This window comes from Homo sapiens, chromosome 13 (genome assembly GCF_000001405.40).
Source record: "Homo sapiens chromosome 13, GRCh38.p14 Primary Assembly".
NCBI lineage: Eukaryota > Metazoa > Chordata > Mammalia > Primates > Hominidae > Homo > Homo sapiens.
Genome location: NC_000013.11, coordinates 21,123,668 through 21,149,365, shown reverse-complemented (window position 1 = coordinate 21,149,365; position 25,698 = coordinate 21,123,668). Strand labels below are relative to the sequence as shown.

The following is a 25,698-nucleotide window of genomic DNA, read 5'->3' as shown; positions in this document are numbered from 1 at the left end:
TATTATGTTCAACTTTAGAGAATTTTAAACCTAGCCTAATAATGTTTCTTTCTACATTCACACCTGCCCCTCACATGCATACAACCGATACCTAAAACATTACCTGAGTCAATGATCAGCTGGGCATAACCGTCCCAGTTTTTGTACACCGTGAAAAACTAAAAAGACATTATAGGCAATATCATGTACTGTAACACATATTCCAAAGGGAAAACGTCAATTCCAAAATACCTAGGAGCAAATGAGGCAACCAGGGCAGACACTAAAGCACTGAGCAAGATGCTGTCATGATGACTACTTATTTATTTCTATTTTATATGCGGGGAAACAGCTCAGTTATTACTCAAAGCCACACTTACCAAAGCCAGAGGTAAACTAGTACAAGTCTTTTGATTCTTAGCATTATATTCAATAAATTCACTAGGTATTCTCTAACTGTACTTTTGATGGGATATTGAAATCTTTAAAGGAGAAATTCCATGTTGGAACCAAGCAAAGGGTGGAATTTGACAAAGCAGCCCAACCACTTTGGCTTACAAAGTCCTTTATTTAGTTCCTACCCTCTTCATCTGCATAGTAAATCATAGGGTTCCCCCCCACCCCCACCACGAATAGCAGTTAATCATGGCTATTCTCCAAAAAGCTAGGTGCAAATTAACTTTATGGCTCCAGTCTATCTAATCTGAATGAATAAACAACCTAAAGGTTTGGGGTAAACCACAGCACAGAAGAAGCACCAGATCTAGGCTCCAGGCTGGTCTCTGCCATTGCTAACAGGGACACCAATTCCACAGAATCATCAGATTTTAAATGGCTGTTTTTGTATGTACCAGATAAAACTAGTGCAATTTTATTGCTGCTGGTACTTTTTTTTTTAAATTTTGGGATATACATTTTCAATTGGCTACTGTAACAAACTAAAGGGAATTTACAATACACTGTCGTACTGTTCATAAACTTCAAAATGAGAGTAGTGCCATGGAAGAAAAGAGATCCAGTTTTAATACCACTTTATGGCCAATAATCAGTATTTATTGTTTCTCATTTGTCAGGCACCATTCTAAGCTCTTTTAAAATATTCAGTCTTAACAATCCTATAGGCCGTTATCTCCGTTTTACAAAATAAAGATTGAAATAATTTATCCAAGGTTGCAGAGTCACTGCTGCAATCAGGACTTCAATGTTCTGCTGCACTGTCTTCATCACTGCTTTACTGCCTCTCAGATCAGATGCACGCCACTACCTAGCACACAAGAGGATGTGTGAACACCTCCTACTCATTCAACCTGACCTTGTCCTTGGCTCTTCTCCCTCGGTCTTAAGATTCCTCCTTCACCCCTCCCTCCATTTGCAGATCTCCAGGGTTAATTAAACCTTTCTACCTCTACCCAAACCCTTGTTTCCTCTGAACTGGTTCCAGCCTTTAAAATGCCCTATTCCCCACATGTTAAAAACTTAAGTGCTCATTGTGTTGCCTGTTCTTTAACCTTTTATGTCATGGTACCCTGATCAAGGCGGGGCAATCTCGTCCAACACAGCTTCTTCAACTTGCCGCAGCTTATTCCAAACTGCCTCTGCTGCCACTTGAGCTCACTCTCACGTGTCCTTTCCAACTGCATACAGCAGTCTACACCACAAACTCATGTTTGATTTCATACAATCCCGTGGCTTTCTTGTTCTGCCCCTTTGGGCTTAACCATACGCTCCTCCACTACTTAGTATAAACCCTGTTCCCAGGCCTCCATTAACTTTCACACTCAGGCTGATTACACACATATATTTAACAGTACAGTTTTACACAGAATGCTAAGAGCACTTTTCTTCATATTTTACAGAAGGGCTTGAAACATACAGACTATTCGTAATCATACAATAGCACATCCAAATCTAACTCCTAAATAGATGATGCATTATAATTTGTTTAGAATTTAAAGGCTTAATGGCAATAATCAGGGGAGGAAGAAGAGTATGTTTATTTTACATAACTGACGGAAAAATAAATTCAACAAATAGTAAATAGAATTTAATATGGTCTCATGCGCCCTGAAGGAGGTGGTGCCCGATTTGGAGGGGTAATTGCTATGTCCAAGTAATCTCCTATCTGGAACTTCTGCGACTGCAGGGTCATGGAATCATCAGTCCCCTTTCTGCCAGACATGGTGCTGCCAATCTCCTTAACTCTGTAAGAAAGAAAATCAACTGTTAATGGATCCAAATCAATGAAACCCAGTATGTACTACAAAGTGAATATGGCACTGGATTTTCTCCATCATTTTATAACACACTTCCAAAATTTAACTACTTTATTAAGCCAAACCACGTATTAATATAAACCCATATTCTCCCACTAACAAGATTCATTGAAGGAGTTATCTGTATCAGTTAAAACATACTAAAAACAAAGAGATTACAGGACTTAAAAATGAGAAGTTACCTACCGATAGCCAGGTCTTTTAACATCTGTAAAAACGATTGCAAAATTGAAGTGAGTGCCCTTCTTTCTAGCTTCTGGGTAGACTTCTTTTACTAAGCTTGTCAGTTCTTTCAAGGTTGCATCCATCCTGGATTTTTTTTAAAAAAGACATTTACATTTGCTTATTAATCAGCAATAATATTAAAAGGGATACTAACAATGAGTTAATTACATATATCTGAGTTGTGATTTACATTAGAAACTGCCAGGGTCTTATACTAGAGATTAATTTTAAAGCAGCTAAAAATACTATTTGCCTCCAAAAACTCCATGTACCAGCCTTACTGCTGGAAATTTCAATTAATTAGACTCTTAGTGCTAAAAGGGACTTCAGAGATTCTATATGCTATCTTCTGTTGCTACACAACACCTTATGGCCTAGTGATTTACCTAAGGGTAACTAGTCCAAATAAATCCAAATATGCAAAATAGATGTATCCCATTAGTTCTAAGACATGTACCCTTCCACATTTTAGCATCTCTGAAATTGGAATGTATCTTAGAATCAATGTACTAGGAAAGCATTTTCATACTGACGTTTTGTTTTTGAGAGAGTCTCGCTCTGTCGCCCAGGCTAGAGTGCAGTGGCGTGACCTCAGCTCACTGCAACCTCCGCCTCCCAGGTTCAAGCAATTCTCCTGCCTCAGCCTCCTGAGTAGCTGGGATTACAGACGCCCACCACCACGCCCAGGTAATTTTTCTATTTTTAGTAGAGACAGGGTTTCACCATGTTGGCCATGCTGGTCTCGAACTCCTGACTTCAAGTGATCCACCTATCTTGGCCTCCCAAAGTGCTGGGATTGATTACAAGCGTGAGCCACTGCGCCCAGCCAGATGTGTTTCTTCTTTCTTAGATAGAATTGTAAGTTTTACAACAGATAAGAGTACTAGAGCCAATGAAATATACAAAAGTTTCTTACAATGAAGCACAGGCTCTTGTCACAATAGTTTCTTACCCTGCAAATATTGACTTGAATCCAACTTTCATATAGTCCCCTGAGCTAATAAGAGAACAATCTGAAAAAAATATTTTAACATATAAGCATCTTAGAAATAACCTAGTATACATTTTTTTGCCAGGTGCGGAGGCTCATGCCTGTAATCCCAGCACTTTGGGAGGCCAAGGCGGGTGGATCACCTGAGGCCAGGAGCTCAAGTTCGAGAGCAGCCTGGCCAACATGGTGAAACCCCGTTTCTACTAAAAATCCAAAAATTAGCCAGGCGTTGTGGCACACATCTGTAGCCTATAATCCCAGCTACTCGAGAGGCTGAGACAAGAGAATCGCTTGACCTGGGAGGCGGAGGCTGCAGTGAGCCAAGACTGTGCCACTGTGCTCCAGCCTGGGTGACAGACTGAGACTCTGTCTCAAAAACAAAAAAACCTGAGGTCACATTGGTTTATCTGTCTCAGAGGTGACCTTTTTTCAACCTGATATTTTGATGTTAACTATTCTGTATCAATTATAGGTTCAGTATCCCTTACCCAAAATACATGGGACTAGAAGCGTTTTAGGTTTTTTCAAATTTTAGAATTTTTGCATATACGTAAGATATCTTGGGGTTGTGACCCAAGTTTAAATAAGAAACTCATTTATGTTTCAAACATACCTTATACACAGCTGGAATACAATTTTATACATCATTTTAAGTAATTGTGTGCATGAAAGGAAGTTTGGTGCACGCCTGTAATCCCAGCTACTCAGGAGGCTGAGGCAGGAGAATCGCTTATACCTGGGAGGCAGAGGTTGCAGTGAGCCGAGATCGCGCCACTGCACTCCAGCCTGGATGACAGAGCAAGACTCTGTCTCAAAAAAAAAAAAAAAAAAAGAGGTCAAGAACTTATGTGTGCAATTTTCCACCGGTGTCACGTCAGCTCTCAAAAGTTTCAGATTTTGTGGCATTTCAGATTTTGGACTTGCGATGCTCAGTCTATATTCTGATACACAGTACATACTTATGATGATATATACCAGAAAGAATTTTTTCCTTTCTAAAAATATTTTCAATATTGTCTTGCTCTTAATTAATTTGGGGGATTTATATCACACCTTTTATCAGTTCTGACAGTGTGAAACCTACACAAGCTTCCCACCTTCTAAGGACTGTCTTTCCAGACCAACAATTGGAGTGCCAAGTGTTGCTTTTTCATCACTAGTCAGAAGCTTGAGGACAGGGTGGGGTTCAGTACTTGTGTCAGCTTGACGAAGCTACAGTCCCCAGATATTCAACCAAACACTAACCTAGGTATTGCTGTGAGATATTTTATAGATGTGACTAAAGTCAACAACCAATTGACCTTAAATTCAGAGGTCTATCCTATATAATCTGGGGAGGCCTGATTCTATTAGTTGAAAGGCCCTAAGAGCAGCCTTTCCTTCCTGAGAACCTGCCCTACAGATTTGACAATTAAGGGCCTAGACAGCCCCCACAATCACGTAAACCAAATTCTTTGCAATAAAGCTTTTTTTTTTTTTTTTTTTTTTTTTTGAGATGGAGTCCCGCTCTGTCGCCCGGGCTGGAGTGCAGTGGCGCTGATCTCGGCTCACTGCAACCTCTGCCACCTGGGTTCAAGCAATTCTCCTGCCTCAGCCTCCCAAGTAGTTGGGATTACAGGCACCCGCCACCATGCCTGGCTAATTTTTGTATTTTTAGCAGAGACGGGGTTTCACCATGTTGGCCAGGCTGGTCTCCAACTCCTGACCTCATGACCCGCCCACCTCGGCCTCCCAAAGTGCTGGGATTACAGGCGTGAGCCACCACGCCCAGCAGAAATAAATCTCTTAACACATCTCTCCCAATTCTGTTTTTCTGGCTGAGCCCTGATTGACTTTGGTGAACACAGCCTGCCTCTACTGGGCTCCTCTGGACTTCCACTCCTGTTTCCATAACTTCTCTTGGGACTGCCTATTTAACCCCACAGTCTACTTCTCCAAATTGAGAATTTCCAGTATATGTTAACTAATTTTCCCTCATTACTATTTCTGGGAATGAGGGCAGGCCTTTGTGTTACCCCCATACCAATCATCCAGTCTTTCAGAATCTTTTCTTTGGCCACCATTTTGAGATGTAACTTAAAGTTGTTCCTTCTTTGTTTGGTTGCAATTTATGGACGGTATAGTTTAGGACAGGATTTTTTTGGTAATTTTTTTTCTTGATTCAGAGTGGAAGGTCTGTGGAACAACCTCACCCTGCCATTTTAACCCTAAAAATCACTCTATTCATCCGCTTTCCCTGATAAAAGGACTTACTACAGGGAGGAGCAGTACCGTCTTGACTTTATACCCTCAGGATCTAAGCACACACAGCACCTGGCAAATAGGAACTCTTGTTGGAAGAAACATACACTTTAATTTCTGAAGAGATTTTCATCAAGCCATTATTCAACAGTTCTTCCATATAAGCTAAATCAACCTTCCTAGAACACTTACCCTTGAGTGATGCTTAAGTACAGGTATCATACTACTACATAAATTTAACAAGCACCTCCAAATAAGACAAGTAAGGTCCCAATCTTCAAGGGATTAGCTCTAGTGTACAGGGCTTAAATAGTTTAAAATTATACATCTTTTGGGGAATATAAAATAGTGCAGCTGCTGTGAAAAAGTTTGGTGGTTCCTCAAAAATTAAACAAAGTTAACATATGACCCAGTAATCCCCTCCTAGGTACATACCCAAAAGAACTGAAAGCAGCGACACAAACACATTTGTATGCCAATGTTCACAGCAGCATTATTCACAATGGCAAAAAAGGTGAAACAACCCAAGTGTCCATCAATAGATGAGTACATATGTGATGCACACATACAATGAAATATGATTCAGCCTTGACAAGGCTAAATGGATGCTACAACATTAACCCTAAAAACACCATGAAATAAGCCAAAATGACGAATACTGTAATGAGTTCACTGAAATGAAATATGCAGAATAGGCAAATTCATATATGGACAGATAATACATTAGAGGCTACCAGGGGATGGGGCAGGGGAGGAATGGGAAATTATTAATAGGCACAGAGTGTCCTTAACAGGGTACCGGCACACTGGGCATGGTGGTGTGTGCCTGTAGTCCCAGCTGCTTGAGCCAAGGAGCTCAAATCCAGCTTGGGGAACAGAGCAAGACTCCGTCTCTTTAAAAATTAAAAAAAGGCAGGATGGGGTACAGGGTTTCTGTTGGAGGGAGGGATAAAAACTTGTAGAAACAGTGGTTGCACAACAATTTGAATGCTATTAATGCCACCAAATTGTACACTTAGAAATGGTTAATGACCAGGTGCGGTGGCTCATGCCTGTAAACCTACCACTTTGGGAAGCCAAGGTGGGTGGATCACTTGAGGTCAGGAGTTCGAGACCAGCCTGGCCAACATGGTGAAACCCTGTCTCTACTAAAAATACAAAAATTAGCCAGGCGTGGTGGCGGGCGCCTGTAATCCCAGCTACTGAGGAGGCTGAGGCGTGAGAATCGCTTGAACCTGGGAGGCAGAGGTTGCAGTGAGCTGAGATCACGCCACTGCACTCCAGCCTGGGTGACAGAGTGAGATTCAAAAAATAAAAATAAATGGTTAACACGGCAAATTTTGTTATATAGGCACACACATATATATTTTGAGACAGAGTCTCGCTCTGTCGCCCAGGCTGGAGTACAGTGGCACAATCTCAGCTCACTGCAACTTCCACTTCCCAGGTTCAAGCGATCCTCCTGCCTCAGTCTCCCAATTAGCTGGGATTACAATTCTGCGCCACCACACCTGGCTAATTTTTGCATTTTTAGTAGAGACAGGGTTTCATCACGCTGGCCAGACTGGTCTCGAACTCCTGACCTCAAGTGATCCGCCAGCCTCAGCCTCCCAAAGTGCTGGGATTACAGGCATAAGCCACCGTGCCTGGCTTGTTATATATCTTTTCATCACAATAAAAAATTTATTTTAGGCTGGGCGCAGTAGCTCACACCTTAATCCCAGCACTTTGGGAGGCTGAGGCAGGCAGATCACTTGAGGTCAAGAGTTCGAGACCAGCCTGGTCAATACGGTGAAACCCCATCTCTACTAAAAATACAAAAATTAGCCAGGCGTGGTGGTGGACACCTGTAATCCCAGCTACTTGGGAGGCTGAGTCAGAAGAATCAATTGAATCCAGGAGGTGGAGGTTGCAGTGAGCCGAGATGGCACCACTGCACTCCAGCCTGGGCAACAGAGCAAGACTCTGTCTCAAAAATATATAGAGAGAGTATATACACATATTTTTCAATTACACACCTTTTACTTATACTAAAAAGCCATTATGGTGTCAATCCAAGGAGTTATGTGCAGCGCTAAAGACAAGCCCACAGTAGTTTGTAGGGAGGTACACCCAAGAGATAAACATTCAGGAACCATCTTCACTAAACACATATCAAAAGCTTTTCCAATAACCCTTAGAGAAGAAATAACTCGGGTTTTGGTAGTTTATTTTTCACTTTTGGTGCTTTGGTACCTAAGGCTTAATATTATGTGGAAATGCTCTTTGAGAATAACAAATACCACTCGACAGCATCACTCTCCCTTACCATGTTGTCCTAGTGCAATTTATTTGACTATGAGTCCCTTTAGGGCAGATACTACAACATATTTATCTACCTATCACTTTTGTACCTAGCAGCCATAACAGTGACAGCAATCTTGGGTCTGTCCATTCTTAACCGCCCAAAAGTTGCAACATTAATCACAAAAGCGTTACAATACGGGCAAATCTCCTTTCACCTAACAACAAAAACTTCTAACTTCCTGAAAGCTGAGTCCGAAGGCCCCAAGTGGAGAAATGAAATTGAAATCAGGGAGAATAACTCTACACTGGCAAAGGCAATTAACTGTTGTTCCAGGTTCCCGGCCCGGGTCCCTGAGGCCACCCCGCCCTCCTCACCAAGTGTAGATCTGCAACTCGCTGGACGGTACATTTCCCCGGGAGAACTCGTCCATTCGGTGGTGGCGGCCGTTATTGGTGGTGAAGACCCGTAGCAACAGTGGGCATGTCTGAGGGAGAGAGAAAACGGAAGGGCAGAAGTTAAAAACACCAGCTGCGAACCCGGAGCTCATCTCTCTTCCCGAGGCGTTGCGGCCTCCGAGCCTCCCCGAGACCAAAAACACCATCTCCTCCAGCACACAGGCCGCGCCTCTGCACCCTGCGGGACTCATCCCCAACCTCTTCCCGGACCCCAAAGCGGAGGGGGCCTTCACCTTCTCGCGGTCGATCGGTTTCTCTGGCTCCTTCTTAATTTCCTCCTGGGTAACGCGCGACTCCACCGCCATCTTCCTCCTACGGCCTGCGAGACGCTCGCCCTGACCTCCGACCCCTGCAGCGAGCATGAGCACTAAGTCTCTCGCGAGGAGAAGCTCGACACTTTATAGTCGGCCAGGGGCTGGGCGGGGCGTCTCCTGGCGCAGGCGCACTTCCGTGCGTGGTGAGCGAGCCGGAGCGCGCCTGCGTGTTGCGACTTCGGGAAAAGGCGGGTGCTGACGTCCGCGGGGAGGAGGTGCTTAGCGTCCGTCGCCTAGCAGTTGGTTGCCGGGATGTTTTTTTCCCTTAAATATTCACAGGCGACATAAGCTTAAGGTGGCGTTTTCATGCGTAATGACGAAAACCTTATTGGACACAAAGCGTTCCTTTATTAGCAAAATATAGATCTTTCTGATGAAAGAACAGGCCCGCGATACCAGCCCCTGAGGTAAGCCGGAAGAGGGGCCGCCAGCGTACGTGGTCATGGAGCGATCCTTCCAGCCACACACAGTTCGGGTGGCTTAGAGACCTGAACGCGTACAGCAAATCCAGAACTTGTAGGAAATAACGTTCTAGAATATCTTCAGGACTTATGGGTGGGAATATATGATACAAAAACAACTAACTTGAAGCAATTGATTTGACTGGGTTACGACAAAAATAATCTGACCTTCAAAATACATAACTCCATGATGAACCCAAAATGCCAAGTATATGACTGAACTTACAAGTGATACCATCTTACGACTGAAGAGTGGGAAATAAAATACATCATAAGAGAGAAGCCACACAGTAGAAATTTGTTACACATATGATTGACAAAGGCAATTATCCAGAATATATAGGATCTAAACAGACAACCCAATCGAAAAATGGATAAAATTACTGAACAGGTGCTTTGGCAATGACAAAATCCAGATAGTCAACAAACATGTAAGGTGCGCAAGCGCATTACGAATCGGGGAAATGCATTAAAACCACGATTAGTTTCAATTGATTGGTTTTTAAACCACACTCACTAGATTGGCAAAAATTAAGAACTCTGGCCGGGCGTGGTGGTGGCTCACGCCTGTAATCCCAGCATTTTGGGAAGCCGAGGCAGGCAGATTATTTGACCTCCTGACTCCCGACTTGAGGTCAGGAGTTTGAGACAAGCCTGGCCAACACAATGAGACCCCGTCTCCACTAAAAATAAAAAAAAAAAAAATTAGCCAAGAGTGGTGGCAGGCGCCTGTGATCCCAGCTACTGGGAAGGCAGAGGCAGGAGAATTGCTTGAATCCGGGAGGCGGAGGTTACAGGTTACAGTGAGTGGAGATCGTGCCACTGCAGTCCAGCAACCTAGATGACAGAGTGAGACTCCGTCTCAAAAAAAAAAAAAAAAAAAAATACGGCTGGTCATGGTGGCCCACCCCAGTAATCCCAGCACTTTGGGAGGTCAAGACGGGTGGATCACTTGAGTCAAGAGTTCGAGACCAGCCTAACCAACATGGTGAAGCCCCGTCTCTACTAAAAATACAAAATTAGCCACTCGTGGTGTCACAAGCCTGTAATCCCAGCTACTTGGGAGGCTGAGGCAGGAGAATCACTTGAACCCGAAGGCAGAGCCTGCAGTGAGCCAAGATCACGCCACTGTACTCCAGTCTGGGCAACAAGGGCAAAACTCCAAAACTCCGTCTTAAAACAAACAAAAAATCTAGGAACTCTGACAGTAGCAGGTGTTTGTAGGCTACTGCGAATTCTCATATACTGCTGGTAAGAATGTAAACTGGAACACCTGCTTTAGAAAGTAGTACTTACCCTAGAGAAAATCTTGCTCAAGTGTATCCAGAGACATTACAAGAATGTTCTTAGCTATATTGTTCATGAGAACAAAAAGCTGGAAACAGCCCAAGTGTCTATCAACAGTAGGACAGTTCAGTGAATTGTGGTGTACTAGACAGCAATAAAACTACCAATCAACAATGGGATACTATAAAGCAACACAAATTTACAAACTACAGTCATATGAAACAATGTGAATCTCACAAACATGATGGTGAATATAAGAAACCAAAGACAAAAATGTATTTACTGTATGAATTCATTTTCAAAACATTCAAAAGCAGGTAATACTAAAAGATATTGTTCAAGAGAATTCCCAGGTGACAAAATTATAAAGAAAATGGAGAAGTAATTATAATTACCAGAAAAGTCTGAGTAGTAATGACCTCTGAGTATAGAAGGAAATTGTAATAAGGGAGGGGTAAATGGAATGCTTCTAGAGTGTTGGCAACATTCCATTTTTTTTTTAACTTAGGTGGTGGTTACATAGCTGTTTTAATTAAAATTACTTTTTTTTTTTTTTTTTTGAGACAGAGTCTCGCTCTGTCACCAGGCTGGAGTGCAGTGCAGTGGCACAGTCTTGGCTCACTGCAACCTCCGTCTCATGGGTTCACGCAATTCTCTGCCTCAGCCTCCCCAGTAGCTGGGATTACAGGCACCCGCCACCATGCCCAGCTAATTTTTTTGAATTTTTAGTAGAGACGGGGTTTCACCATGTTGGCCAGGCTGGTATTGAACTCCTGACCTTGTGATCCACCCGCCTCAGCCTCCCAAAGTGCTGGGATTATAGGCATAAGCCACCATGCCCGGCCTGAATTAAAATTACTCTTTAAAGAGTACATTTATGTTATTATTATTGAGATGGTCTTGCTCTGTCACCCAGGCTGGAGTCCAGTGATGCAATCATGACTCACTGCAGCCTTGACTTCCCGGCTCCAGTGATCCTCTCACCTCAGCCTCCTGGGTAGCTGGGACCGTGTAGCCGGGAACACAGGCACAAGCCACCATGATGGGCTAATTTTTGTAGAGATAGGACTTCACCATTTTGGCCAGGCTGGTCTCAAACTGCTGACCTCAAGCTATCCACCCTCCTCAGCCTCCCAAACTGCTGGGATTACAGGCAAGAGCCACTGTACTCAACCCCATTTATTTTTTATGCACCCCTCTGTACTAATGCTATACCTTGCTATTTTAAAAATACATAATTCAATAGAAAAAATGACAAAAGACATGGATGGGCCAGGCACGGTGGCTCACGCCTGTAATCTCAGCACTTTGGGAGGCTGAGATGGGTAGATAGCTTGAGGTCAGGAGTTCGAGACCAGCCTGGCCAGCATGGCGAAACCCTCTCTACTAAAAATACAAAAATTAGCTGGGCATGGTGGCAGGTGCCTGTAATCCCAGCTACTCTGGAGGCAAGAGAATCACTTGAACCCGGGAAGCGGAGGTTGCAGTGAGAGCCTTAGCAACAGAGCTATACACCGTCTCAAAACAAAACAAAACAAAAAAAAATGGGCATTTCATAGAAGATTAAATAAAGGTAAACATATGAAGATACCCGACCTCAAGAATAGTCATAAAAATGCAAAGTTAAACACAGATAACATTTCACTCTACTAGATTAAACAAAATGTGAAAGTCAGACAACTAAGTGCTCGCAAGGATATGGAGAAAAGGGAATTCTTACAGATTGCTCTCATCCACTTTAGAAAACTGATTGGCATCACCTAGAAAGATTCAATATGTGTACACCTTAAGACTCAGCTATTCTGGCTGGGCGTGGTGGCTCACGCCTGTAATCCCAACACTCTGGGAGGCCGAGGTGGGCGGATCACCTGAGGTTGGGAGTTCAAGACCAGATTGACCAACATGGAGAAACCCCATCTCTACTAAAAATACAAAATTAGCCAGGAATGGTGGTGCATGCCTGTAATCCCAGCTACTTGGGAGGCTGAGGCAGGAGAATCGCTTGAATCTGGGAGGTGGAGGTTGCAGTGAGCCCATATTGCACCATTGCACTCCAGCCTGGGCAACGAGAGCGAAACTCCATCTCAAGACAAAAAAAAGACTCAGCTATTCTATGCCTTATGTGTAGCTCAGAAAAACCGTTGGCCATGAGCACAAGGCAGCAGTTTAAATAATATTATAATGTGTTTAGTCATAATAACTAGAAACAATTCAACTGCCTACCTAGAGTATATTCATAAAATGGAATACTATAAAGACTTGAAAGTAAATAAATGAATCAGTACTCTTTTTTAAAATTTTTTTTATTTTTTATTTTTTTTATTTTTTTGAGACGGCGTCTCGCTCTGTTGCCAGGCTGGAGTGCAGTGGTGCAATCTCAGCTCACTGCAATCTCCGCCTTCCAGGTTCAAGAAATTCTCCTGCCTCAGCCTCCTGAGTAGCAGGGATTACAGGCACACACCACCATGCTTGTTGTGGGAAGCCAGGAACCCCGAATGGAGGGACCGGCTGAAGCCATGGCAGAAGAATGTGGATGTGAAGATTTCATGGACATTTATTAGTTCCCCAAATTAATACTTTTATAATTTCTTACGCCTGTCTTTACTGCAGTCTCTGAACATAAATTGTGAAGATTTCATGGATACTTATCACTTCCCCAGTCAATACCCTTGTGATTTCCTATGCCTGTCTTTAATCTCTTAATCCCATCATCTTTGTAAACTGAGGAGGATGTATGTCACCTGAGGACCCTGTGATGATTGCGTTGACTGCACAAATTGTTTGTAGAGCATGTGTGTTTGAACAGTATGAAATCTGGGCACCTTGAAAAAAGAACAGGATAACAGCAATGTTCAGGGAACAAGAGAGATAACCTTTAACTCCGACCGCCGGTGAGCCGGGCGGAACACAGCCATATTTCTCTTCTTTCAAAAGCAAATGGAAAAATATCACTGAATTCTTTTTCTCAGCAAGGAACATCCTGAGAAAGAGAATGTGTCCCTGAGGGTAGACCTCTAAAATGGCCGCTTCGGGGTGCGGCTGTCTTTTATGGTCGAGCTGTAGGGATGAAATAAGCCCCAGTCTCCCGTAGTGCTCCCAGGCTTATTAGGAGGAGGAAATTCCCACCTAATAAATTTTGGTCAGACCGGTTGTCTGCTCTCAAACCCTGTCTCCTGATACGATGTTATCAATGACAATGCGAGCCTGAAACTTCATTAGCAATTTTAATTTCGCCCTGGTCCTGTGGTCCTGTGATCTCGCCCTGCCTCCATTTGCCTTGTGATATCTTATTACCTTGGGAAGCATGTGATCTCTGTGACCCACACCCTATTCGTACACTCCCTCCCCTTTTGAAAATCACTAATAAAAACTTGCTGGTTTTGTGGCTCAGGAGGCATCACGGAAGCTGCCGACATGTGATGTCTCCCCCGGATGCCCAGCTTTAAAATTTCTCTGTTTTGTACTCTGTCCCTTTATTTCTCAGACCAGCCGACACTTAGGGAAAATAGAAAAGAACCTACGTGAAATATTGGGGGTGAATTTCGGCCCGATATCTCGCTGAATTTTCCCCCGATACATGCCCAGCTAATTTGTGTATTTTTAGTAGAGACAGGGTTTCACCATGTTGGCCAGGATGGTCTCAATCTCCTGACCTCGTGATCCGCTCACCTCAGCCTCCCAAAGTGCTGGGATTACAGGCGTGAGCCACCGTGCCCAGCCTTCTTTTTTAAAAAAGTAGAAGAAGCAAGTCACAGAACACATACGATAGGGTTCAATTTATGCAGTTTATTCAATTTGGGGGGAAAATAGGAACCCCTCACCTAAAAATACTGTTTAGGGAAACAAACATGAGTAGTAAAACTATAAAGAGAAGCAGGGGGAAATAAACACTAAATTCAGTTTAGTGTTACCTCTGAGGGTAAGCTTGGGTGATGCAATTTATGAAGGGCATCCACAGCTTCTAAGATACTGGTAATATACTCTTTCTCACTAGGAGGAGTGTGTTTTTTATTCTTTACATTGTAGCTGTACATCTTAGAAACTCTTTTGTATGTGTGATTTAGATTACTCTTTTAAAATAGTTATTTACTTACTTACTTTTGAGACAGGGTCTGGCTCCGCTGCCCAGGCTGGAATGCATTGGCATAATCTCAATCTCAGCTCACTGCAGCCTCCGCCTCCTGGACTCAAGCAATCCTCCCACCTCAGCCTCCCATGTGGCTGGGACCACAGGCCACACCACCATGCCTGGCTAATGTTTTCTAGAAACGGGGTTTTGCCATGTTGCCTAACTTGTCTCAAACTCCTGGGCTCGGCAGGGTGTGGTGGCTCATGCCTATAATCCCAGCATTTTGGGAGGCTGAGGCGGGCAGATCATGAGTTCAGGAGATGGAGACAATCTTGGCTAACACAGTGAAACCCTGTCTCTACTAAAAATACAAAAAATTAGCCGGGCGTGGTAGTGGGCACTTATAGTCCCGGCTACTCGGGAGGCTTAGGTGAGACTCCGTCTAAAAAAAAAAAAAAAAAATTCCTGGCCTCAAGCAATTCACCGCCTTGGCCTCCCAAAGTGCTGAGGTTACAAGTGTGACTAACCACACCCAGCCATAAAAAATTTATTTTTTCATTGTGCCTAGAATAGGCATGCATGCAGAGTTGCATGCAGGCAATGTTTGTTTTTTCAAAAAGATATTTAAATTTTCTCCCCAGTTCTATGATTCTAGTATATCTTTTTTTTTAAAATTTTATTTTTCTGAATAAAGAAGAATTCTAGGATGATTCTAGTATTATATCTTTTTCAAAACCTCCATAATATAATAATACAGACACATGAGGGCACTCTAATCAATCCATTAAAGGGAAAACATTGAAACTATGAAAATGAAGAACTTCACAACCTTTTATTGGTGATACTGGGGAGGGTTCATTTCTTAGATATAAGCTCTCATTTTGGGACCTTTCCAAATAACCAGCTCTCATCAAAATGAAACTTTCCGACATCTTGAGGCAGTAGAAGTGCATCTATATTTTAGAATACTTGGAATACTTTTTCAGCAGCCCTCATTCTACCTACATGGACTTGTAAAACCAGCTCTGAGTTGCTCCTGAAATTGTAATATTTAAGGGTATGCATCTTTCCTTTCTTTTTAGAATTTACGTGGACAAGTATTACACTTCTAAGTAATATACCCAAGGGAATTGAAAGCAGGGACTCAGGTATTTGTGCACTAGTGTTCATAGCAGTATTATTCACAGTAGCCAAAAGGTAGAAACAATCTGAATGTCCATCAACAGATGGAAAGATACACATAGAATGGAATATTCAGCTTTCAAAAGGAATAAAATTCTGACACGTTACAACGTGGGTGAACCTAGAAAACATTATGCTAAGTGAAATACGCCAGACACAAAAGAACAAACATTGTGTGATTTCATTTATAAGAGGCACATAGAATGAACAGGCAAATTCATAGGCAGAAAGTAAAAGAGAGGCTGCCAGCGGCTGGTGGGTACGTGGGGACTGGGAAGTTATTGCTTAATGGGTACAGAGTTTCTTTTTGAGATGATGAAAAAATTCTGGATATGGATGGTGGGAATGGTTGCACAACATAGTGAACATACTTCAAGTCACTGAATTGTACACCAAAAAATTGTTAAAATGATAACATTTATGTTACATACATTTTATCACAATTTTAAAAATTAAAAAAAGTGAACATCTGAAGTATGTGAAAAATAAGTCATCAGACTCTCTCCACTCTTCTTTTTCTACTCTCTCTCTTTTGTGTGTCCTAGCATTATGAATCTAGGAAAAGGCAGATTCTCCGAATTAAAATCAGAAATATGTAATGAGGAGTTCTAAAGAATATGCCTCAGTCAATCACTGCAACTCCATGGCATTCTCTGCTGTTAATATGAAGAAGAATGACCTTTTAATGGCAGGGAAATAAGTGAACACTATACAAAATTTGTTTCTGGAGAAGATTTAATGAAATGTATTATCCATAGAACTATCTGGTTGTTTATAAAAGTTGTGGATTATAAATTTGAATCTCTAGGGGATTATTAATGCTTTTCAAATTCCTCTCATGACACTCTTTCCTTCAGGTGTATCTGTAGGCGACAAGGGGTACAGCATTTATAAGCACAATATTTACTGGGCTCTGTTTCCCAAAGGGTTGTATGTGAACAGTCTCAGTAAAGCATCTACTTGTTACCAAGAGTAAAGGCTGGGCGCAAAGGCTCACACCTGTAATCCCAGCACTTTGGGAGGCTGAGGCAGGAATATCACTTGAGTCCAGGAGTTCAAGACCAGCCTGAGCAACATTATCAAGACCCCTGTCTCTTAAAAAAAAAAAAAAATTAGCTGGGGTGGGACGTGCCTGTAGTCCCAGGTACTCAGGAAGCTGGAGGTGGGAGGTTTGTATGAGCCCAGGAGGTCAAGGCTGCAGTGAGCCGTGATTGTGTATAACTGTACAACTCTTTTGCTTAGACAACAGAGTGAGACCCTGTCTCAAAAAAGGAGTCGAAAAAATATATAAATTTCCATAACAATCCTAGAAGAATTAAGCTTACAGATAGTACAATTACTACTTAGACTGTACATTTCTTCTCTCTTTCGGTTTTTGAGACAGAGTCTCACTCTCTTGCCCAGGCTGGAGTGCAGTGGCCACCTGGGCTCACTGCAACCTTCACCTCCACACTTCAAGTGATTCTCCTGCCTCAGCCTCCCAAGTAGCTGGCATTACAGGCGCATGCCACCACACCTGGCTAATTTTTATAATTTTTAGTAGAGACGGAGTTTCACCATGTTGGCTAGGCTGGTCTCAAACTCCTGACCTCAGGTGATCCTGCCACCTTCACCCCCAATGTGCTGGGATTACAGGCATGAGCCATGTCACCTGGCCTTCTTATTTATTTATTTATTTTAAGAAAGAAAGTGTCTCACTTTGTCTCCCAGGCTGGAGGGCAGTGGCATGATCACAGCTCATTGCAGCCTCCAGCTCCTGGGCTCAAGGGATCCTCCCTCCTCAGCTTCATGAGCAGCTTGTACTACAGGCATGAGCCACCACATCCAGCTCATTTTTTAATACTTTGTAGAGATTGAGTCTTGCTAGGTTGCCCAGAATGGTCTTGAGCTCTTGGCCTCAAGTGATTCTCCTACCTCTGCCTCTCACAGTGCTAGGATTACAAGCATAAGCCACCAAGCCCAGGTGGTTACTTTTTGCTATCTTAAGAACTCTTTTTTGGTGGCTCATGCCTGTAATCCCAGCACTTTGGGAGGCCAAGGCGGGCAGATCTCAGGGTCAGGAGATCGAGACCATCCTGGCTAACACAGTGAAACCCTGTCTCTACTAAAAATACAAAAAAAAAATTAGGCAGGCATGGTGGCGGGCGCCTGTAGTCCCAGGTACTCGGGAGGCTGAGGCAGGAGAATCGCTTGAACCCAGGAGGTGGAGGTTGCAGTGAGCTGAGATCGCGCCACTGCACTTCAGCCTGGGTGACAGAGCAAGACTCCGTCTCAAAAACAAAAACAAAACAAAAAAAAACCTCTTTTTTTTGGAGGGGGGATGGAGTCTCTGTCTCCCACACCGGAGTGCGATGGCACGATCTCCGCTCACTGCACCCTCTGCCTCCTGGGTTCAAGCAATTGTCCTGTCTCCCTTTCCAAATAGCTGGGATTATGTGCTCACACCACAACACCCAGCTAATTTTTGTATTTTCAGTAGAGAGAGAGTGTCACCAAATTGGTCAGGCTGGTCTCAGAACTCCTGACCTCAGGTGATCCACCTGCCTCAGCCTCCAAGGGTTCCCAAAGTGCTGGTGTCCGGTGGGTTCGTGGTCTCCGTGACTTCAAGAACGGAGCCACGGACCCTCGCGGTGAGTGTTACAGCTCTTAAAGATGGCATAGTGAGTGTTACAGCTCTTAATGACCGCAGGGACCCGAAAAGTGAGCAACAGCAAAATTTATTGGGAAGAGGGAAAGAGCAAAACCTCCACAACCCAGAAAGAGACTGGAGCTGGTTGCAACTGCTGGCGGAAGCAGGGGGCGGTGGAAAAAGGGGGAATGGCCAGCTTTTATTCTTTTATTTGTCCCTGCCCATGTCCTGCTAATTGGTCCATTTTCCAGAGCGCTGATTGGTCCATTTTACAGAGTGTTGATTGGTCCATTTTACAAACCTCTAGCTAGCTACAGAGCATTCATTGGTGCATTTTTACAGAGTGCTGATTGGTGCATTTTACAAACCTCTAGCTAGCTACAGAGCGCTAATTGGTGCATTTTACAATCCTAGCTACAGAGTGCTGATTGGTGCATTTTACAATCCTCTTGTAAGACAGAAAAGTTCTCCAAGTCCCCACTCCACCCAGGAAGTCCAGCTGGCTTCACCTCTCACTGGGATTACAGGCATGAGCCACCAGCCTGGCCAGAACTCTGTATTTTTACAAATGAGCACAAGTGCTTGTTTGGCATCAGCACTACAGGCAATGCTGCCATGAATCAGTCCTGATCCTCCTAACTGTTCTTGCTGTGTCACCCCTACTGGCATTCTTCACGCTATAGCCAGAGGGGTAGTGTTTTAAAAGTCCTAATCCCTTGATTAAAAACCTTCAAAGTATCCATTGTACTTTGGAACAAAAGCTAACTTCCATACTAAGATACTGATGACTCCTCCACCCTCCTCTCCCGCCATCCTCCTAATTCACTGCTCTGCAGCCCTGTGGGCCTTCCCTACCAGACCAGGACGTTAACATTTGCTGCTTCCTCTGCCTGAGACAATCTTCCCCCACACCCTTGTCCCATCCTCAGTCCTCACTCACTCTATTATCAAAGTAATCTCAGAGAGGCCTTTCTCAGCTTTAGTAATGTAGAGTTCTCTCTGCCTCCCTCCTCCATCAGCAATCGCTTGTTTATTTCTCATAGCATCTCTCGTTTCTGATTTATGTGACTTATGTCACCCTCTCTTTATAGAATGTAAACTGCCTGAGGGCAGAGGCTCTGTCTTACCTCTGCATCCCCAGCTCCTAGCCCAGTCCACAGAGCCTACCTAGCACATAGCTAGTGCTCAGTTAATGCCTATTGAATTATATCAATGAACAGTTGGATAAATTACTAGGCTGTTCCCACCAATTAGACCCTAAGGTGTAGGATTTGGAAACCCACTTACTTTTAAGCCAGTGGAACAGAAAAAGGGGTGGCATTGTCTTTTCAGAGAGTTGAAATGTCTCTCATTTTAATCCCTAATTTAAGCATTTGAATGATTAGATGGAAAATGGTTTTCAAACAGACATCTACTTCCTCAAGAGTCTGCAGAGTGTCAGCAACATATTTACCAGAGGCAAGCTGTAGAGGCCTCCTAAAGTGCTGGGATTACACAAGTGAGCCACCGCTCCCAAATAAATGTATAACTGGTATTAAAATATGTGTTACATGGTTAAAGACATTTTAGGGCCAGACGCAGTGGCTCACACATGTAATGCCAGCACTTTGGGAGGTCAAGGTGGGCAGATCACTTGAGGTCAGGAGTTCGAGACCAGCCTGGTCAACATGGCAAAACCCCATCTCTATAAAAAATATGAAAAAGTAGCCAGGCGTGGTGGTGCATGTCTATAGTCCCCACTCCTTGGGAGGCTTAGGTGGGAGGATCACTTAAGTCTAGGAGACTGAAGCTGCTGTGAGCCAGGATTGCACCACTGCACTCCAGCTTGGGTGACAAGATGAGATCCTGGCTTAAAAAAAAAAAATAGATCAGTATCTCTCATGAACACAGAGGCAAAAATCCTCAACAAATATAAGCAAATTGTATCCAACAATGTTGTATTAAAAAACCATAACCAAGTGGGATTTATCCCAGGTATGCAAGGCTGGCTCAATATTTAAAAATCAGCTGATGTTGCTGGGCGTGGTGGTTCACACCTGTAATCCCAGCACTTTGGGAGGCCGAGGTGGGCGGATCACAATGTCAGGAGTTTGAGACCAGCCTGACCAACATGGTGAAACCCTGTCTCTACTAAAAATACAAAACAAAATACAAAAACCCCATCTCCACTAAAAATACAAAAATTAGCCGGGTGTGGTGGCAGGTGCCTGTAATCCCAGCTACTCAGGAGGCTGAGGCAGGAGAATCACTTGAACCCAGGAGGCGGAGGTTGCAATGAGCCAAGATTGGGCCACTGCACTCCAGCCTGGGCAACAGAGCAAGACTCCATCTCAAAAAAATAATAATAATAAAGAAGGAAAATAATATCATATCAATAATATAAAAAAAAGCATTTGACAAAATCAAACGCCCATTCATGATAAAAAAAACTGTCAGCAAACTAGGAATAAAGAGGAACTTCCTCTGCTAGATAAAGAACATCTACAAAAAGCCTACAGCTAACATCATATTCTTAATGGTGAGAAATTAGTCCTCCCCCTAAGATGAGGAACAAGGAAAGGATGTCCCTTCTCACTACTGCTTTTTAATATTGTATTAGAAGTCCTAGCTAATGCAAGATGAGAAAAGAAAAGTAAAGGTAGACAGATTGGGGAGGAAGAATTAAAACTGTTGTACTGGCTGGGCATGGTGGCTTATGCCTGTAATCCCAGAAATTTGGGAGGCTGAGGCAGGCAGATCACTTGAGCCCAGTAGTTTGAGACTAGCCTGGGCAACATAGCAAAACCCTGTCTCTATTTATATAAACTAGTTTAAAAAAAAAAAAAAAGAACTGTTGTAGTTTGCAGGTGACATGATTGTTTATGCAGCTAAATAAAAAACATTGACAATACCAAATGCTGAGGATGTAGAGCAACAGGAAATTTCATTCATTGCTGGTGGAAATGCAAAATGGTACAGCCACTTTGAAAGACAGTTTGGCAGTTTCTTACAGAACTAAACATACTATTATCATACAATTCAGCAATCATGCTCCTTGGTATTTACCCAAATAAACTGGAAACTCGTGCCTATAACCCCAACACTTCGGGAGGCTGAGTCAGAAGGATTGTTTGAGCCCAGGACTTCAAGATCAGCCTGGACAACATAGTAAGACCCTATCTCTACAAAAAAATTTTAAAATTAACTGGGTATGGTAGTGTGCACCTGTGGTCCCAGCTACTTGGGAAGCTAATGTAGGAGGATCACTTGAGCCCAGGAGGTCAAGGCTGCAGTGAGCTATGATTGTGCCACTGCGCTCCAGCCTATGTGACAGAACAAGACCCTGTCTCAGAAAAAAAAAAAAAAAAAGAGAAAGAGAAACACACAGGGCCCTGAAGTGATGCCAAATGAGAAGAGACAGCCTGGAGATCTGGGAGATGGGGCTTGCAGGCAGAAGGTGAGCTCTGGGAAGGGGCTGAGATGGCCCAGGCTGCATGTAGGGAGAATGAAAGCAAGCCAGGCCAGCCACGCGCAGTGGCTCACGCCTGTAATCCCAACACTTTGGGAGGCCGAGGCGGGCAGATCACCTGAGGTCAGGAGTTCGAGACCAGCCTGGCCAACATGGTGAAACCCTGTCTCTACTAAAAATATAAAAAAAATTAGCCAGGCGTGGTGGCGGGCACCTGTAATTCTAGCTACTCAGGAGGCTGAGGCAGAAGAATCACTTGAACCCGAGAGGCAGAGGTTGCAGTGAGCCGAGATTGCGCCATTTCACTCCAGCCTGGGGGACAGAGTGAGACTTTGTCTCAAAAAGGAAAAAAAAAAAAAGAAGCCAGGCCAGGGGCTGGAGCAGGGAGGACAAAGGACAGAAAGGCCAGAGATGTGGGCAGGGGCCAGGTCACCTATCTGAGACCATGACAGGAGTTTGAATTTTATTTTAATTAGAATAAGAGTCATAGCAGTTGGGATTCTTCTTGCAAACATGGAAGGACTCTGGCCAATTTAAGAAAAGGAATGGACTGAAAAAGCAGCTCATAGAACCACCAAGAAGGCTGATCGATTAGGCTTAGAAAAACACACAACCACTCTGTGAGGTTGGGCAGTCAGCAAAACAGGCAGAATCACCTCCCAGAGCTGGTGCAGAGGGCATGCCCCAACCAGAGTGACTATGTTGCCCAGGCTGGTCTGGAACTCCTGGGCTCAAGTGATCCTCCTGCCTTGCCCTCCCAAACTGCTGGGACTACAGGTGTGAGCCACTGTATGGGGCTTCACTCACATTCTTGACAGCCAGATTCAAGTTCTGAAGAATATTTATTTTAATCAACTTTCAAAACTCTTAAGTCCTGATCAACGAAAAGGGAGAAAAAGCAAATAAGTAGGCATGTATTGTATGTGGAAGGTATTTCAAAATGGCCAGCCAGGAGAGAAGACAGTAACTCTAGTGCACACACCATTTCACTCAGGGAAAGTCACAAAAGTCAGCCACAACCCCAGGCTATGAAAGGAGTCAAGGTGGCTGTTACAGGCCAGGTGAACACAACTTTAAATGGCATCAGTTCAAGACCATTACATTGTGGGACTGGAAATAGTTACTAGATTATTTCTGGGAGTAGTAGAAGTAGTGAAGTAGCAATATGAAAACAGTTGAGATGTCCGCCTTATTTAACCCTTAAACCAGAGGTTTTCAATTGTGGCTGCATATTAGAAGCACCTGGGAATCTTAAAACAACAATAACAACAAACAACGGAAACCAACACCTCCAGGGAAAGCCCAGGACCTCAGCTGTTTCGAGGGCTCCCTGGGGTTGGGAATCATTCCCAAAGCTTGGTGCTCACTGACTTGGGAAGGCGAGAGGTTTGAAATTCAAGCAGCCAGGAAATTTCTGTGCAAGGCCTGCCAATGCTTTGGACATCTCTTCATTATTTACAGTTCTGAGTTCAAAGAATTTTTAAGACTTAAAAATTACCAGATCCACACGAGGTCAGGAGATCAAGACCATCCTGGCTCACATGGTGAAACCCCGTCTCTACTAAAAAAATACAAAAAATTAGCTGGGCGTGGTGGCGGGCGCCTGTAGTCCCAGCTACTTGGGAGGCTGAGGCAGGAGAATGGTGTGAACCCGGGAGGCAGAGCTTGCAGTGAGCTGAGATGGCGCCACTGCACTCCAGCCTGGGTGGCAGAGCAAGACTCCATCTCAAAAAAAAAAAAAAAAAAAATTACCGGATCCAAATTTTTGCTTGATCTATTCTGGTGGGTAGTATCACAAGCCTTTATTTTGTTGTTGTTGTTGTTGTTTTACAAATTTACATTTTAATTGCCTTTATTTATTTATTTGAGACGGAGTTTTGCTCTTGTTGCCCAGGCTGGAGTGCAGTGGCTCAATCCTGGCTCACTGCAACCTCTGCCTCCCAGGTTCAAGCGATTATCCTGACTCAGCCTCCCGAGTAGCTGGGACTACAGGCACACACCACCACACCTGGCTAATTTTTGTATTTTTAGTAGAGACAGGGTTTCACCATGTTGTCTAGGCTGGTCTTGAACTCCTGACCTCAGGTGATCCGCCCACCTCGGCCTCTCAAAGTGCTGGGATTACAGGCATGAGCCACTGTGTCCAGCCTGCCTGTCTTTACAAAGAAAAAATAATTAAGCCTTGAGAATTTGTAATAGTTATATTTTTCTTTGTAACCATAATCTTTAGGCTTTTAATAACATCTAGTTTGTAACTCAGCTTAATTTTTTTTCTCTGCTAAGGTATGATGGTAGGGTGTGTAACTGTAAATTTGTAATTTATACTGAGGGTATGAGTTGGGCATGGCAGGGAAGCCGCTGGGACCCTACAGTGGACTATTTGTCATTCTTCAGGACAAAGGGAATGACAGCAGCCAGCGCTTCCTGCCTTGTACTCACACACTGGAGTGTGCTGAAGCGTACTGAGGAGGCAGGGCCGTCTCAGATGCCCCATCCTGCTCCTGACTTCGCAAGCTGCCACTCTGGGCAGTGTGCCAGCACAGGGGGAGCAGACACAAGCTCAGTTGCTCAGCGAGTTATGTGGGCTTTGCAACCATTGGAAACTCCAGAAACCTTAGCTTCACAGCTTGGAGAAAAGGAAAGTTTTGGTTGTCAGCGTACTTAATGGTGGTCCTAAAAAGGCTGCCTGCAGAGAGCACATTTTAGTAGGATTGGGATGGGGCACACCTGGCCTGTGGACCAGGCCCTGAGAAATAGCCTGTCGGGGGGCGGGGGGGGGGGTCAGGAGATTCACAGAAAGAGTGAGTATAATGAAGAGAGCTGAATTCCTGATTAGAAAGAAGTTTTTTGTTGTTGTTGTTGTTTGGTTTTTGGTTTTTTTTGAGATGGAGTCTCGCTCTGTCGCCCAGGCTGGAGTGCAGTGGCGCTATCTCGGCTCACTGCAAGCTCCGCCTCCTGGGTTCACGCCATTCTCCTGCCTCAGCCTCCCGAGTAGCTGGGACTACAGGCGCCCGCCACCATGCCCGGCTAATTTTTCTTTTCTTTTTTTTTTTTTTTTTGTATTTTTAGTAGAGACAGGGTTTCACCGTGGTCTCGATCTCCTGACCTCGTGATCCTCCCGCCTCGGCCTTCCAAAGTGCTGGGATTACAGGCGTGAGCCACCGCGCCCGGCCAGGTTTCTAATGGAGTGTGCTAGACATTAGGGAGCTTTCTCTCCCTCTTTTTATCTTCAGCCACGGTTTATCTCCACTGCCTTCCTCGGAATCCTAGAACTGCATTTCCCAGACCCTCTTGCCTCCAGGGTTCCAGGATTTACATTCTGCCAAGGACCAAGTTTAGGTACTCCTGCATTATTTGAAAGACAAAGGGATGCCGAGGCCGCAAGCAGGGGGCATGTGGGGACCTCAGCACACCTGAGGCCTTGCAGCCACCTCCAGGCACCCGCTGCGAGGCTGCCCCTCCCTGTTGGGCGTTTGAGCATCATGGAGGTTTCTGACCAGGGAACAGGGGGCAGCAATTTCCTAGGTCCCCGTCCCATAGCTGTCATGATGAACCTGGAAACTAACACCTTACTTTCCTGGATTTTTTCATGCTACTTAGCATCTTTCTTCATGCTGTTTTGACAAACTTCCCTGGATTTTTGCTCCTTTAGACCTGCCAGCAGTTTTTACAGTATCTGATTCCGTAATTTAAATCCCTTTCTGCTTAAAATATCTAGAATGGTTTGTTTTTCCAATTGAACACTGCGTGTTTGGTGCCAGAAGTGGCCCCAGGAAACAACTCTCAAATGTGGGTGTCTCAGTCTGTTCAGGCTGCTGTAGCAAAACAGCTTAGACTGCGTAATTTATACACAACAG

General features: G+C 44.0%; 1 protein-coding gene and 1 non-coding gene across 4 annotated transcripts, besides 4 other annotated features; one reads left to right on the top strand and one right to left on the bottom strand.

The window, feature by feature from the left end:
- Nucleotides 1-268: 268 nt before the first annotated feature.
- Nucleotides 269-9,247, bottom strand: SAP18 (Sin3A associated protein 18). Of its 3 annotated transcripts, NM_001366643.2 has the most exons (5): nucleotides 8,685-8,820; nucleotides 8,371-8,480; nucleotides 4,082-4,274; nucleotides 2,439-2,561; nucleotides 284-2,180 (listed from the first exon to the last, which is right to left on the bottom strand). In NM_001366643.2, exons 2-5 carry the CDS (start codon nucleotides 8,402-8,404, stop codon nucleotides 2,024-2,026), a joined length of 507 nt encoding a protein of 168 aa, NP_001353572.1. In that variant the 5' UTR covers nucleotides 8,405-8,480; nucleotides 8,685-8,820; the 3' UTR covers nucleotides 284-2,023. The 3 variants fall into 3 exon arrangements, 2 of the variants coding, with proteins under 2 accessions (NP_005861.2, NP_001353572.1); NM_005870.5 differs by lacking the exon at nucleotides 4,082-4,274 and having other exon boundaries at nucleotides 269-2,180; nucleotides 8,685-9,247; NR_172492.1 differs by lacking the exons at nucleotides 2,439-2,561; nucleotides 4,082-4,274 and having other exon boundaries at nucleotides 269-2,180; nucleotides 8,685-9,247.
- Nucleotides 8,514-8,853: an enhancer, noted in NCBI's record as "active region_7432". NCBI's record gives its function as "activates an Ori minimal core promoter by ATAC-STARR-seq in GM12878 lymphoblastoid cells {active_cell/tissue: GM12878}" and the evidence as "EXISTENCE:reporter gene assay evidence [ECO:0000049][PMID:35858748]".
- Nucleotides 9,014-9,333: an enhancer, noted in NCBI's record as "active region_7431". NCBI's record gives its function as "activates an Ori minimal core promoter by ATAC-STARR-seq in GM12878 lymphoblastoid cells {active_cell/tissue: GM12878}" and the evidence as "EXISTENCE:reporter gene assay evidence [ECO:0000049][PMID:35858748]".
- Nucleotides 9,384-9,433: an enhancer, noted in NCBI's record as "active region_7430". NCBI's record gives its function as "activates an Ori minimal core promoter by ATAC-STARR-seq in GM12878 lymphoblastoid cells {active_cell/tissue: GM12878}" and the evidence as "EXISTENCE:reporter gene assay evidence [ECO:0000049][PMID:35858748]".
- Nucleotides 9,409-9,480, top strand: LOC124900339 (small nucleolar RNA SNORD27). Its single transcript, XR_007063949.1, has one exon. It is a non-coding gene; the product is annotated as a small nucleolar RNA SNORD27 (small nucleolar RNA).
- Nucleotides 18,854-19,362: an enhancer, noted in NCBI's record as "NANOG hESC enhancer chr13:21704143-21704651 (GRCh37/hg19 assembly coordinates)". NCBI's record gives its function as "activates a minimal SCP1, AML or CMV promoter by ChIP-STARR-seq in naive H9 embryonic stem cells {active_cell/tissue: H9 hESC(naive)}" and the evidence as "EXISTENCE:reporter gene assay evidence [ECO:0000049][PMID:30033119]".

Coding starts and splice junctions, on each gene's coding strand:
- SAP18 (NM_005870.5), bottom strand. CDS start 8,813: ATGCTCGCTGCAGGGGTCGGAGGTCAGGGCGAGCGTCTCGCAGGCCGT. Junction 8,481..8,684: donor AACCGATCGACCGCGAGAAG/GTGAAGGCCCCC, acceptor TCTCTCCCTCAG/ACATGCCCACTGTTGCTACG. Junction 2,181..2,438: donor GTTAAAAGACCTGGCTATCG/GTAGGTAACTTC, acceptor TCTTTCTTACAG/AGTTAAGGAGATTGGCAGCA.